Genomic DNA, 15,774 nt, shown 5'->3' with positions numbered 1-15,774 from the left:
AGTTGTGCAAAGTGAAATTGGAAGGCTGGTTTGGTGTGTGTCTCAGCTTCCTCATCTCTAAAACAATTCTAATAATGTAGGGTTGTTATAAGCATGAAATGAGATAGCTCTGTCCATGGAATAAACCTTGAGAGAGTAATGATCACAGGTCAGGCCTTGGGCTAAGCGCTGTCCTCAGAGATGAAAAACAAGAGTTAACGAGAGACTTTCCCTTAATCGCTCCTCTCTTTCCTCAAGCTACCATTTTTCCTTTATTTCTAAACTTATTAGCAGAAAAGTCAACTCCCACTACCTCCACAGTCACCCTACCCTTTAATTTCGTATAATCAGACTTCTTTCCTTATTATTCTGAATTTGAACCATTCAAAGAAAAAAGTCCAATAACAACTTAATTGGTGCTTATCATCCCTTAATTTCCATGACATCGTACTCCCCTAATTATTCTCAGTCTTTAAAATCATTCCTTTACCCATCTCCTTTACAATGTCTTCTTTTACCTCCAAACCCTGCCCAAAGTTCTTTCTGTCTTCTATTCATGGATGGGATTTCATACACTAATATGACTTCAAGTCATAATAACAATAGCAATGACCACAATAACGATGCCAAAACCGAGGTAGCACTCACTCAGTGCCAGACATTCTTTTAAGAACTTCATATGTATTCACCTACTTAATCCTCCCAAAACCTTTGTGATGTCGACACACTATTGTTGTCCCGAAGTACAGATGAAAAAAATTGTGACACAGAGAGCTGTGAGCACACAAGTCAAAGCACAAGTTTAAATCTTTCAAGTTCTAAGCCCAAATTTCTTTTGGCTTGATACCAGTATCTTAAATTCAGATATTCAAGGCCAAAAGTTTAGTATCTTCTACAAAAAAAAGTCAGATTGTCATTCTGAACTTTCTGTTTGATTAACAGTACCAGCATTCCTGTTTGGCAGGCAAGGCCAGCTTCACAGGTGTGTATTTCACACAGGGCTTCATGCTCACAGAGCACTTGCTTCAATGCTCTGTTGTCACCCTTGTAAAATCGTTAATAATTTTCAAACAAGGAGTGTGCATTTCCATTTTATACTACGCCCTGAAAATTACATATCCACTTCTACTCCCAAGCTCAAAGAGCATCATAGGCTTATTTTTATGCTAAAATTATATCAAATTGATATTTATAAAGCACCTATCTCTGTCCTCAATATCTCTACATCTAACAAGCTTCTACTCATTACTGGTCCTTTTACCTGGAACTCCCCTAGGCTCTAACCATTTCAGTACAGGTTAATGATGACTAATGACTTGCAGCAGGTAATCTCTGATTTGTCTATGCAAAAAGAGAATTCAGAGTATCACATGATAACATGTGATGGTGCATTAATAAACCAATAATTTTAAATATGAGCATTTGATTTTTAATAGCTAAGTAAATGTTTAAAAATTAATATTTATATATACATATATGTATTACATAGGTATGACTATCATGATATTTACAAGCCCACAATAGAATTTCCTTTAGTTATCTAATGCTCCATCTTGAAATAGTAATGTATTGCATTGGTGCTCAAATAGGGATTAAAATCAATTTATCAGTGTCTACTTAGGAGGTGTTTTTCAAGTGAAACTCTGGAGATGCCAACAGAAGGATGGCAGCATCCTACCACCTATGCTTTTTTACTCTCCAAGTTTTTTTCAGAGAATCCATAAATATTGAAATGGTTTCTCCAATGACTGAGCTAGCCAGCTCAATGGAAAAATACTCATGCTGGCCTCTTTCCTAGCTACTAGGTAAGTAGATTAGCCAAAGAAAGGAAAACAGACTCGCATTCCCAGATAATTTGTGTTTTGTTTTCTCCCTTTATTCTTTTTCTTTTATAAATCCCATCTCTGATTTTGACAAATAAGCTAAATGTGTGGAATGATGTCCCTTGTCTATGAGTAATGGCATGGTGATAGATAGTGGTCTCTGGATTAGTCTTTGAAAAATTAGAAGATTAAGGCAAAAGAGATCCAACATCATATGACTGATAGCCCCAAAGAAGAGAGCTAAAATAATGAAAGAGAAAAATTTAGATATTTAGGCTGGTCACGGTGGCTCACATTTGTAATCTCAGCACTTTGGGAGGTCGAGGCAGGATTGCTTGAGTCAAGGAGTTTGAGACCAGCCTGGGCAACATAGTGAGACCCTGTCTCCATTTTTGTATTAAAAACAATAGTAATAAGTAAGTATATCCAGTTCTACTTCCAAACTCAGAATGCACCACAGGCTTTTTTTCATGCCAAAATTATATCAAATTGGTATTTATAAAGCACCTATCTTTATCCTTAATATCTTTACCATGTATATGTATTCGTGTATGTATATGTATATAAAGATGCAACTCAAGAAAACTTTCCAGGAAAAAAGTTGAATGTATAGCTAGAATGAGGATACCATATCCCAGGACTAACATTGAGATATACCCTAATAAAGTGGATGGATTTCAAGAGAAAAAATCCTTTCAGCACTGGGCAAAAATATCCAAGAAACAAATGAAGCTGGCCTCAGACTTCTCCACTAAAACATTCAGTACTAGAACACAGTGAAATGCCTACAAACACTTCAAGGAAAAAAAAACAATATTTTACAACCAACAAAACTTTTTTTAGGAGTCCAAATATAAAGGCAAAAACAACAACAAAATATAAACATTAAATATTCAGGGAATTAAACTTTTCTAAAGAAATTCAGACAACTAAAAGATGAGTGAAAAAACAGTAACAAAAGGACTTGAGATGAAGACTGCTTCCAAATAACGGTAGGAGTAAGATAAACACAAACTTAGAAAGCATAATTAGAAAGCTGAATATAAATATTATCTACCCTGCCAATGTGGAGTTAATTTATTGAACAAAAGTAGGTGGGAAAACAGGAGATATTAGAAGTGCAAATACTCTGATTTCCTCATCTTCTATAGCCAGGGGTCAAAAGATACTTTTAAATCTAATAGTAATAACATTAACATTTATTGAGCGCATACTATGTGCCAAGCATTATACTGACACTTTTTCATGAATTATCTTATAAAATATTCAACAACTCTAAGTGAAAAATCAGTTATTATCTCCATTTTATACATAACAAAACCAAGACATTAAGTACTTGTCCAGGGTGCATAGTCTGTAGGTAGTAGTGTTAGATTTAAATTCAGATATCTTAATTCCAGGAACCACAAACTTAGCTATTAGAAAATTTTATATAGCTAAAGCTATAAAAGCAAACATATACTTTGCTACAATTGGGTGATAAAAGTGAGGGAGAGGACATAAAGCGGTGGAAATATATTAATTTCATCCAAAAGTGTGCATAATGTGTCAACATACAGGAAGGAAAAAACGAATACCTGGGAAATACATTCGTACACATAGAAAATTGAAGATTTTTCCATAGCAGCACATTAGGAATCTCACCTCATTGTTTTTTAATATTTATGCAGGATGATACAATTTGGAAATGGTATAATTTATCTGATTAGTCTCTATTGATAGGTATTGTATTGTCAGGAAAGATTAAATTAAGCTGCAGTAACAATTCTCAAAATTTTATAGGGTGCAAAAATAATAAGTTCCATTATTGCTCATGCTACATATGTGTTGCAGGTCAGGAGGGGACTCTGCTTGTTGTAGTCCCTCAGGGACCTCTACTGATGGAGCAACTACTATCTCAAACACTGCAGGTACGATGGTACCTGAGACAGTATTCCGCAAGATGTCTCACCAGCTATTCCCTCCATTTACAACTCCCTGACCAAAATTAGTCACATGCTTCAACCTAACTACTAAATACTATGCCAGAATCACCACAAGGTGGAGAAATAAAAATATCTGGCAAACAGCATGAATGATTACCATGTAAGCATTTAGTTTGTTGCCACATTTTTAATTACGAATCATGCCACAGTGAACATTCATGTCTAATAATCTTTATGTACATGAGCAAGTATATCTACATTAAAAATTCTTAGAATGAAATTGCTGATCAGAAAACATGGCATTTTAATTTTGATAGATATTACCAAATTTCCCTCCAACAAGGTGTTCCGTTGTCATTTACGTTAATAACAATTATAGTTGAAACTTTTAATATGTACATATACCAATTTCATTATAGACTTTAAATCTCATCCATCTGTAATTTGTTTTGGCAAAAGGAGTAAGATAAATATTCAGCTTTCTTTGCTTTTCCCAAATGGCTGAAGAGTTAGTTGTTCCAACACAAGTAACTGAGTAATCTATTTTCCTCCCGCAGTCGAGGAATATCATAACATTACAAATTTTTATTTGAGTCTATTTCCTGAGCCACCCTTCTGTGGCACTGATCTCTCTCCCCTAGTGCCAGTATCACACCATTATAATTACTAAAATTGTATAATACATTTGATTATCTTTTGGAGTTAGGCCATATGAATCAACACTCTTTTTTAAAATTCTCCTGATTACTCATATGTATTAATTTTTTCATACAAATTTTACACTAGCTTACTTAGTTCCAGAAAATACTATTGTTATTTTTACTAATGGTTCATAAACATAGATCAATTTTCATTTTTAAAAATTTAGTCCTTCATCAAAAAAGATGTATCTTTTCATATATTCAACTACTCCTCTCTACCCCTAAGCTTCATAGTTTTCTGTATATTCATCCTGTAAACCTTTTTTAAATTTTACTTATATGTAATTTGTTGTTGTCATTGTTGTTGTTGCTTTTGCAGATGAGCTCTGTTTTTGACTACTGAAATCAATACATTCAATATTTAAGCTTGGTATATTTTGCTTCAAGGTTTTTGTGAAGCTCACAAGTTCTTTGATTTGTGCCCATTTCATCAGAAGACTGGTTTTACTTTACTGGATTTCCTCACTGAAGAGAACAGGAGTGTCACCGCATATAAAACACAGATGCGGCCAAAATGTGCAGAGTTTATTTTCCATTTTGCTCTCTGGAAACAATAATGAACAAATATATCTCTCTGGAACAGGTGACAAAGTCTTCATCTGTGGAAAAGCTAAAAGGATCAGGCATAAATGGAACATCGCTGTTCTAGACAGAGATTTTAACTTCAGCTTGAATTTTATTGCACTTTTATGTATCCAAACATGGATTCGCTTTATAAATACTCTTCTTAGTCTCTGCTTTATAAATCAGAGTTGAATCTCAAGTTCTACCTTATTTGGAACTCTGCTCTCCAAGTTTAGATGTATTAAAATGTAATTCATTTTCTTGTGTCTGCAATATTTGGACCTAAATCCTCTGATGCTTTGTAATTGCTATTCAGAGTAAGACATGCAATCACAGAATTTTGGAGCTACAGTAATTGCTCTCATTTTTTAGAGCCATTTTCCTCAACCATGATGAAGGATTAGGGGAATTACAGTGGAGAGGTTTTTGAAATAAAATATTGTTACTTGTGTTTCCCCATACCTTAACTCCCCACCCCTATCGATAATCAGTGCTAAGTGAAAGGCTGTGCGTCAGTACTGGCATGGGGGAAAAGCAGTGCTCAACCATTTCTTCTCAGTTGGAACAAAGTGATTTTCTCCACATCACAGCACTTACTTGCTCTCTTGGCTCCCGACTGCTGAGGTTACACCTCACTTAGGCTTCTCTAATAACTTTAGAGAATGTTGGCTAACTGGAACCAGTTATCTATACGGCTGTTTTGGTACCTCTTCCACTTTTCACCAACACTCACCATGAATAAACTTAACTGTTCCCTCCTCTACGTACTTAAACTATGTTCACAATGCTGGTATCCCTCCTAAGTGCTCATGTAGAACAACTGGTTTTATGCACAGTTGTTAATCCTCTCACAATGAGACAGGATAGGTATTAAAAGGAAGTAACCATGTCCTCAGGACGCGGCAACTGTGGCAATCTTACTGTCAATATAGTAAGTTTCAGCATTTGCATTGTAGTCCAGCTCATTTAAGCAAAGCTATCTCCAGTAGGGAATTGCCCCTGTATGGAGCATGCACATTTTTTTTTAATTATACTTTAAGTTTTAGGGTAGATGTGCACAACGTGCAGGTTAGTTACATATGTATACATGTGCCATGTTGGTGTGCTACACCCAGTAACTTGTCATTTAACATTAGGTATATCTCCAAATGCTATCCCCCCTCCCCCCACCCCACAACAGGCCCCAGAGTGTGATGTTCCCCTTCCTGTGTCCATGTGTTCTCATTGTTCAATTCCCACTTATGAGTGAGAACATATGGTGTTTGGTTTTTTGTCCTTGGCATACTTTGCTGAGTACCATCCATGTCCCTACAAAGGACATGAACTCATCATTTTTTATGGCTGCTTAGTATTCCATGGTGTATATGTGCCACATTTTCTTAATCCAGTCTATCATTGTTGGACATTTGGGTTGGTTCCAAGTCTTTGCTATTGTGAATAGTGCCACAATAAACATAGGTGTGCAAGTGTCTTTATAGCAGCATGATTTATAATCCTTTGGGTATATACCCACTAACAGGATGGCTGGGTCAAATGGTATTTCTAGTTCTAGATCCCTGAGGAATCGCCACACTGTCTTCCACAATGGTTGAACTAGTTTACAGTCCCACCAACAGTGTAAAAGTGTTCCTATTTCTCCACATCCTCTCCAGCATCTGTTGTTTCCTGACTTTTTAATGATCGCCATTCTAACTGGTGTGAGATGGTATATCATTGTGGTTTTGATTTGCATTTCTCTGATGGCCAATGATGATGAGGATTTTTTCATGTGCCTGTTGGCTGCATAAATGTCTTCTTTTGAGAAGTGTCTGCTCATATCCTTTGCCCACTTTTTGATGGGGTTGTTTTTTCTTTCTTGTAAATTTGTTGGAGTTCATTGTAGATTCTAGATATTAGCCCTTTGTCAGATGAGTAGATTGCAAAAATTTTCTCCCATTCTGTAGGTTGCCTGTTCACTCTGATGGTAGTTTCTTTTGCTGTGCAGAAGCTCTTTAGTTTAATTAGATCCCATTTGTCAATTTTGGCTTTTGTTGCCACTGCTTTTGGTGTTTTAGACATGAAGGCCTTGCCTATGCCTATGTCCTGAATAGTATTGCTTAGGTTTTCTTCTAGGGTTTTTATGGTTTTAGGTCTAACATTTAAGTCTTTAAACCATCTTGAATTTATTTTTGTATAAGGTGTAAGGAAGGGATCCAGTTTCAGCTTTCTACATATGGCTAGCCAGTTTTCCCAGCACCATTTATTAAATAGGGAATCGTTTCCCCATTTCTTGTTTTTGTCAGGTTTGTCAAAGATCAGATGGTTGTAGATATGCGGCATTATTTCTGAGGGCTCTGTTCTGTTCCATTGGCCTATATCTCTTTTTTGGTACCAGTACCATGCTGTTTTGGTTACTGTAGCTTTGTAGTATAGTTTGAAGTCAGGTAGCGTGGGGAGCATGCACATTTTGATTTTCCTTGTCCTCAGACTGACCCTTTGCTCATTATAATAGTAAAACACACACCCCTGGGTGGAGATTTCAGATACTTATGAGACATGCGATATATGAACAAGCATGTACAGCTACTGCACATGTTCACTCAGAGGACAACCTAGAATATGCTTACTAGTAACACTTCTTCCCACCCACTTATGAAAAATCATGTACAACTCCCACAAAGGGAGTCTTCCTAGTGCCAATTTACGCTGTCTCATCCTTACTAGTAAGCCCACCCTGAATTCTGTCAGGGTATAAGTGTCTATTCCTCACTTAACTTGCAAAATATTCTTTTTCTTTTGCAATAAATTACTCGATGCTGCATCTCCTCTGCTGTGTGTCTCTTGTTTAAAGAAAAGAACCAAGGTTTCACAACAGCCATCAACAACCGGCTTATGAGATTCAGGAGAGAAGAGTACAAAGCATATTTATTTATCTTCTAAATGCCTAACCCCTTCCTTCCATATACTTATTTTCAACAAATATTTCTCAAGATAAATTTAACCCATTACAACATAAATTCTTGCCATACTCAAGGATTGTATTAAAGTTTGAGTATAAATGACTCAAACATATTATAGGCAGTGAGTGACAGTATAAAGTTCAATTTAAAATGAATTTTTAAGGGAGATCTCTCTGGAAGCCACTTTAATTAATTTATGACATTCATCAAAGTATATCAAATCACATGGAATCATTTCCATTAATTATTTTAAATAGGCTCCTCCTTTTATAAAAATGTTCACACTAATTATGTCTTTATTCTTAACATCTTTAATAAAGAACCAATTCATCTTATGCAAAATTTCCAAAACTTCTTAATTCCACCAATACTTTTTGCATTACACAATTTAAATGTAATTCCCTTCTTCTCTTTTTCATACTCAGTATGATTTATGGATACTTTAATTATAATGTAGGAACATGGATATGTAAATGCTAAAAAATGGAAACAATGTATACCAAATCATTTCAGAGGTTATTTCTCCGGAGAACAATGAAAAGGAGCGTAGGGAATCAAAGAAGACTTTACTGTTTTTGTTTGTCTGTTTTTGTTTTTGTTTTGAGACGAAGTCTCACTCTTGTCGCCCAAGCTGGAGTGCAGTGGTGTGATCTCAGCTCACTGCAACCTCTGCCTCCTGGGTTCAAGCGATTCTCCTGCCTCAGCCTCCTGAGTAGCTGGGATTACAGGCACGTGCCACCATGCCCAGTTAATTTTTGTATTTTTAGTAGAGACAGGGTTTCACCATGTTGGCCAGGTTGCTCTCGAACTCCTGACCTCGTGATCCACCCACCTCAGCCTCCCAAAGTGCTGGGATTACAGGTGTGGGCCACTGTGCCCAGCCGAAGACTTTACTGTTAACACTGGTATGTCTTCATGGGCTAAACCATATACTATGAGACCAGAAAAGAAAGACAAGTAGCCAGAGGACAGAAAGAGAAAACAGCAGCCATAGTACCCAGCATGACTCACAAGGTCTAGCTGCATATATGGCTCTTTGGTTCTCTTTCTGGTTGAGCAAACTAGAGTGGATTTATGTTACTGGCAATCAAAAGAATCTTGCCTACATCTATAATTGATAATACACTTAGCTGGACTTAGCTTAGTACATATCTTTTCACTTCCCACATCCCCACTGTCATCTTATGTCTCTAACCACATGACTTCCTCCTATCATAGCAAACGGAGAACAGAAAACTTAGACTGAAAAAGCGCCCCTAGTTCTCCAAATTTAATATTTTAGTTAATAGTATAAATACAGAAAACTTATATTCAACATACCCTGTTCAAAGCTGCTAGGACCAGTTTGTGAATATCATTCTTGAAACACTGTTTTTTAACCATATTTAGCTTATGATGAAATTCTGTATCCTCCCTGGATTCTTCTGGCATGCCTAAATGCACAGATAAATAAATAAAGAAAGAATTTTCTTATAAACATTTGAGTTGAACAGACTGTTACTTTCTAGAAATTGTCATAATTAATCTCACAATATATGTGTTGTACTTTTTTCTAGTACATGTTTCCTTATCAAATAAATAACCAGAAATTTTAAGGAATCTATAAAAATAGTTCATCACTGAATATAAAATAAATATAATGTGTAAGAATGCTTACTGAATTTGAAGTAGCAAAAAATTACGATGGTGAAGAAATTTTCTGTAGCAAACAATCACTTTTTTGTGTGAGTAGGCTGTGCTTTAAGATGCTGGAAGATTTTTATGCAACAATGGACAACATGAGAAAAGCTCAGAGTTACTTGGACCACAACATAAAAAGGCAGAAATGAAATATAGACAAAAAAGAGTAGCTGGAATAATCGTAGCAAAAAATAAGATTTGAGTTTCAGTATTAAGGTGGTAGAGAACATGTCATTTTTTAGAAGTTCTGTAAAGGCTATATAATAGCATTGCTATTTTAAAAAATCATATTCTTTATTAAGCTACACTGTAGCTGAACTATGCTAAAAACACTACAAGTCAAAAATGTGGTAATGTAACATATAATTAAAATTATTATGAATGAATAATGTTTTCCAAACCTAAGATTATAGACATAAATATTAATAAAAAATCATTTATGATCTTCCACTTTAATAATCTGCATTAATGCAAACTGTAAGCTGGCTACAACAGGCTTTTCATTTATTTAAGAAGCATCTGAATTCCAATTACATGCCAAGGATTTTGTTAATGCTGGGAATACTATGGTAAGGAAGGCAGCCTTGATAACCACCCTCCTCCAACTTTCAGTCCTTATTTTAAAATGTACTCAAAGAGGTTCTGACATTCACCTCTTGCCGTGTGGTCTGGGGCAAGTCCCTTAAACTGTCTGTGTATCATTTCCAGTGAGCAAGACCACAGTAACTTCTGAGGCTGCCTATTACACCTTAAGAAGATGTGACCACTAAAACTGGCCTGAGTAGTAAAAACATCATGCTACATGTAATGGGTCTTATTTAACATCTTCCTTAAATTAAGACCAAATGAACATTCCTGTAAATTTCTTCTCCAGTCTTTGTTCTATCACTTGAGGTCCTACTATTCAAATGGATATAATTTCCTTTCTACATAACAGTCCTTTAGGTCGTGTGGACTGTAAATTTTTTTGAGAGCAGTATCCATAATCTCATCATCTCCCGATACCTTAAGGATTCTAGACATAGTGCTTTAAATACAACAGTTGTTCAGGACAAGATTGTTGCACAAATATTTATTTTAAAATGCCTACTCTGGAGTCAGCCTGCATAAGCTGAAAATCTGGTGCTGTTATATCAGGCCTGACCTTAAAAATCTCTACAATTCTATGCCTCAGTTTTGTAGTCCATACAATACCAAAATAATAATAATAATAATATCTGCCTCATGGAGTGCTGTTAGAATCAGAAGAGATAATATACTTAAAATACTTCAAACAATGCCTAATACTTTTTAAGTCCTCCATATTGTTTGGTATTATTACTGTTACTGGTTATAAGTAAGTAGATTTGAATAGAGTTTCATATCCCTTTGAGTCATCTCTTCTTCAAATAAAACAATCTCAGTTCCTCTTATTGCTCTTTTTGATGTGCTTTTATCTCCCTAATCACTCTCCTCTATATACTTCCCAATTTGCCTATATCCCTTCTTAAAGAATTTCACATTATTTCCTCTAAAACTAGCAGTAACTCAAGAAACAAGTCAAATGATATTTTATTAAAGTAACTGGGTCTTCATTATTATTTTCTTAAAGCAACCAGCTCAATGTCTATATAACAAGTTATTATAAAGTAGAAGAGAAAAAGTACAGTAATAGATTGAAAGAAACTTAAGATATATGCACTAGATGCAATATGCTATCCTTAATTGGACCCTAAATTATACACATTTGCCATAATGTACATCTTTGCCACTAAAAAACCTGAATATAATCTAGCTAATAAATGAATACATGTACACCTAGGTATCTCATAAGAACCTCAACTTAACATGTTCAAACCAGAATCATATTCAACCTCAAAACTACTGGAGTATTGCTACCATAGTTACTTGTTGATACCTAGAATGATACGGTACTGCACGGCATGGTACATTACGTTGGGTACAGTACAGTATGGTGTACTGTGGTAGTATAATATGTTAGCATACAGTAAATGATTAAGCCTTTACCTACTAGAAGAATGTACTTACATACTGATATGCTTATAAAATGTATTTTTTTACATTAAGTACAGTCCTCAAGTGATTATTTTCAAGGGCACCCATAATACATCTGATTGATTGTTAACTAACAATTTTCCTTCAGGATCAGTTTAAGAACAATAAAAGAAAAGAAATACTGTATTCAAAACTTGCTTTTGGACTAAAAGAGTATTATTTTATTAACTAACAGAAACGGTTTTTGAGTGTCCTTTGGTTATCTTTAAAACCCAAAACCTCCCTCAAAAGAATAAGGCTGTCAACTTTAAGGATAATCAAAAGGCATTTTTATTGTTTTTAATTACAATCTAAAAATAAAATTCAATAAAACATGCAATAATATTTTCAAGTAAAATTACATCTGTTACATTACGTCTCAAAACTAAGCTGAAACTATGAATAGGACACCATGATTCAATTTTTAAAATACTGATTGAATAGCCACCAGAGGACTGGGGGGCCCAGAAAAAAATGACTGAAGAAAGCTCTGTCCTTGAAAAAACTTTTATATTGAGTAATACTCTTATACAGAGAAACAAAATACCTATATAACTAGAGAAAATGATAGATTTAGGAAGATTTCATTTTAAAAGAACAAAGCAAAAATGACTTCAAAAGATTGGGAACTTCACAGAACAAAGTATCATCCCTCATACTTAGGGATCACGATGTCACATCAAACAGATCTCCCAACCATCTGTCCAATCTGCCCTCTCATCTGTGTTTCCATTGCTGGGTCCCTTCACTGGGTCTCACTTGACTACCATGGACCTCCAACCCAATCTCCTTGTATCTAGTCTCTCTCCCTGTCTATCATCCTCTGCACCACAATGCTATTGTCTTTAGTTGCAAATTTCGGTGTGACACTACAATCTGCAAACAATTTTAATAAACTTGGGTTGGCTTCCATTTTTAAAAGGCAAAAAATTTTTAGCACTGCATTCAAGGCCCTTTTCTTTGGGCCTCAGCCTTTCCTTCCACACTCATCCCCAAGCACTCCTCTCCTTATCCTCCATGCCTCACTCACCCCCGACCATGTGCACTTTCTTCTGCTTGAAATGTCTTCCTTGGCCTTTCTACCAGGCCAGCTCTATCTACCCTTCCACCTCAAATATTACAATCTCTGTCCTACTCCTTTGAAGAAATTATTTGTGCCTCCATCGATATTCTCAAAGCCTTTTATATATGCATCTATCATCGCCTCTCTCACGCTGCCTGTTAATTATCTATTTACACTTCCATCTACCTCTAAGCTCCTATAATAGTACAGTTGTGCTTTTTTTCCAATTCATCTTTTAAAGTTTAACAGCATCACAGTGCTTAGAACATAAGAAGCACTTAATAAATGTGTTGGATGAATACAGACATAGGTGTTTTAAAGGGGCTTTGGAGAACAAATAAGGTGATAACAGATGTCAGTAACAATTAAAGGTGGGTGGAGGGTGGAAGCCATTGAGGTAAATGAGTACAAGCCACATTGGAGAAAGATTAATTCAATCATAGAGTAAGAAAAGGATAGAAATGAAGGAAGAGAACAGGTATGAAAATTAGCTAATAGTACAATTCAAACAAGAGAAAAAAAGCTTGAACTCAGGTCATGGCAACAAAAATAGAAAAGAATTATCAGAGATGAACACCCTCCTTAAAAATAAAAGCTCCACATTTTACATTGTAGTTACTTTGTATAAATAAATTACTGAATTCATATTGCTTTCTTATAAAAATTAATCTAAGTGACTCTTCTGCATCATATTTAACCTCTTTTTGGTTTAACAGAAAGATTTACATTTAGTCGACAGAAACTAGTCTTTTAATATTTGCCTAGAATATTGCTATTTCATGAAAAATCAAAAATCCATTTAAATTGTTATCTCTTCCCACAATCAACTATGTAACTTACCAGGCACTATAAAATGTAAAATAGCTCGAAGCGCCTCCAGCTGCACTGGTAATGATGTCTCATGACGTTTCATAACTGTTAGTATTTTGGGGACCACTGCTGCCATTATATCCAGGGAAGTGTTGCTGGGGATATAAAATTGGCATGCTTATTGAAAGACTGATCTGATTCAATGGTATAAACACCAAATTGAAATAAGTACAGGAGGGCAGAACCAATATATTTTATCAGGAAAGACTATATGAAAATGCATTTGAAATCAGTAGTATGAGCATACATAATTTTAATTGTCTAAACTTTGAACTCATAAGATAGAATTCATAGTAATCCGGGAATTATTTCACTTCATAAAACTAACAACATCCTTCTGACCTACGATGGGTCAATAACAACAATCCCAGCAGGTAGGTGTTATTATCCCCATTTTCTACATGAAGAACTTAGACAGATAGAGGTTAAATATTCAGGTCTTATCACTAGAAAGTGACAGAGACAAGGCTGGTACCCAAACTTGTCTGACCCCAAGACAAGGCCTCTTTACATCACACGAACCTTCCTCTTCCAGATTAACATCACTGGACTTCTTATAAGGTATTTTTAATTATTTTTAATTTGTTTTACAGTCTTGGTTTCTCTCAGGTATTTAAGCTATTCTTTCTTTTACATATGAGCAAATGTCACTTGACTAGAATGCAGTAGGTACTATGAACTTTAATACAGTCAATCCTTGCTTTGCTTGTTAACTGAAACTTGTGCATATCAGAACCATGTTCTCACTTTGCATGGTTCTGTGGACACTGAGATACATTCCTTCTTTTCCAACTTAAAGTCCCAGTTTAAACACATCCCTCCATTGGAGCCTCCCCTCCTTGGGTAACCCCAGCTGAGTCCACTCTACTCTTACCATTGCGTCTTTTACACACTACTGCCACTGCATTCTGAGACTGTATTATAATAATCTGTTTACTTATCAGTCTCTCGACTCACATGAGTTCTGTAGGGGCAGACACACTGTCAGAGCCAATGCGGAATCTCCAGGGCTGCAACTGTACACATTTTACGTAAGAGCATGCAGCGAGAAACATTAAATGCCTTGCCCAGAATCTACAGAATCCTAGACTGGAGTTTATTCCGCTGTGTTTTTGCCTCATTTGTAAAGGTTTGCACACTTCCGGCCCCATTAAAATCAACATTTAAGATAAACTTTTCATCTCAGTGTTCAAAAACAACACTTAAATAAGAGAAATACAGCTTAGAAAGATATATAAACATAGATTAGTTAGACTGATGTTAAAAACAGTGTAACCCTACTTCTTACAAGTCTGCAGTTACGCTACATTTCATGCTATATGCACTTCATTTATTCACACTTAGTAACAGTATAACAACAATAGACACAATTTGTTGAGTGCTTAAAATGCAGCAGGCATTATCCTAATCCCTTTGTAAAAATTAATTTATTTAATCCTTACATTCTAAGCTTACAACTTTCAAAGTTGTTATTATCATTCCTCTTTATCAATGAGGAACGTGAAGTTTTAGAGATGAAACAGTTGGCTCAAATTAGTGGCAAAACCAGGAACAAAATTAGTTTTCACTGCAACTTCTGTGCCAATTATTTTTTTTACACATGAGAGTTCTGCCCACACCTACCACCCCTCACCCCCACCTCATCCCACCCTGCCCCACCACCATCCACACATAGATCAAAGGATATGGTCTCTGTTGTGCCACTAACCGCCAGCTATATAATCTTAGCATCTCTGCACTTGGACTAGATGTAGTTAAAATTTTCCCTAACTAAGGATTGAGAGCAGGAAGAGAAGACAAAGTTCATTCAGATGAAGGAATAATATATTCGTTGTGAAAGAGCAAAATTTAGCCATAAACTGATTTTATCTTTTATAACTTTCACACACACAATAATTAGAAAAACTGCTGTATGCTATGTGCTATACAATTACCACTTTTCAAAATATAGTCAACATCAAGCATCAGGTTCAAAAGCAAACCTTCAACATGTTTCCACAATCTTGCCATTCCTTTCAGTGTTCAGATAAAGTAAGTCTATGGTACTAGTGACACGAGATTACATTGCAAAATGCTTCAGTTTTCAAGTGTCTTATGTTTTTCTTTTTCTTTTCATTGTTAGAAATATGCTTGAAATATTGATATTCTACCTGGCCCAATATGATATATTCTGTACAAGTTAATGAATCTATATTA

At 35.4% G+C, this 15,774-nt stretch overlaps 1 protein-coding gene across 11 annotated transcripts in view; it reads right to left on the bottom strand.

The window, feature by feature from the left end:
• The window catches only part of LRRK2 (leucine rich repeat kinase 2), a 144,289-nt gene that overhangs the window by 96,133 nt on the left and 32,382 nt on the right, over window positions 1-15,774 (bottom strand). For all 11 annotated transcript variants that reach the window (XR_007063041.1, NM_198578.4, XM_005268629.5 and 8 more), the window contains 2 exons: window positions 13,549-13,673; window positions 9,252-9,364 (listed from right to left, as the gene is read on the bottom strand). Coding sequence is in view for 10 of the 11 variants with exons in the window: in NM_198578.4 (NP_940980.4) it covers window positions 9,252-9,364; window positions 13,549-13,673 (238 nt within the window). In the remaining variant the exon portion in view is untranslated. The remainder of the gene's footprint in view (window positions 1-9,251; window positions 9,365-13,548; window positions 13,674-15,774) is intronic.

The sequence above is a fragment of the Homo sapiens genome, chromosome 12 (assembly GCF_000001405.40).
Source record: "Homo sapiens chromosome 12, GRCh38.p14 Primary Assembly".
Taxonomy (NCBI): Eukaryota; Metazoa; Chordata; class Mammalia; order Primates; family Hominidae; genus Homo; species Homo sapiens.
Note: the sequence above shows the minus strand (reverse complement) of the source record. Positions and strands in the feature narration are given on the sequence as shown.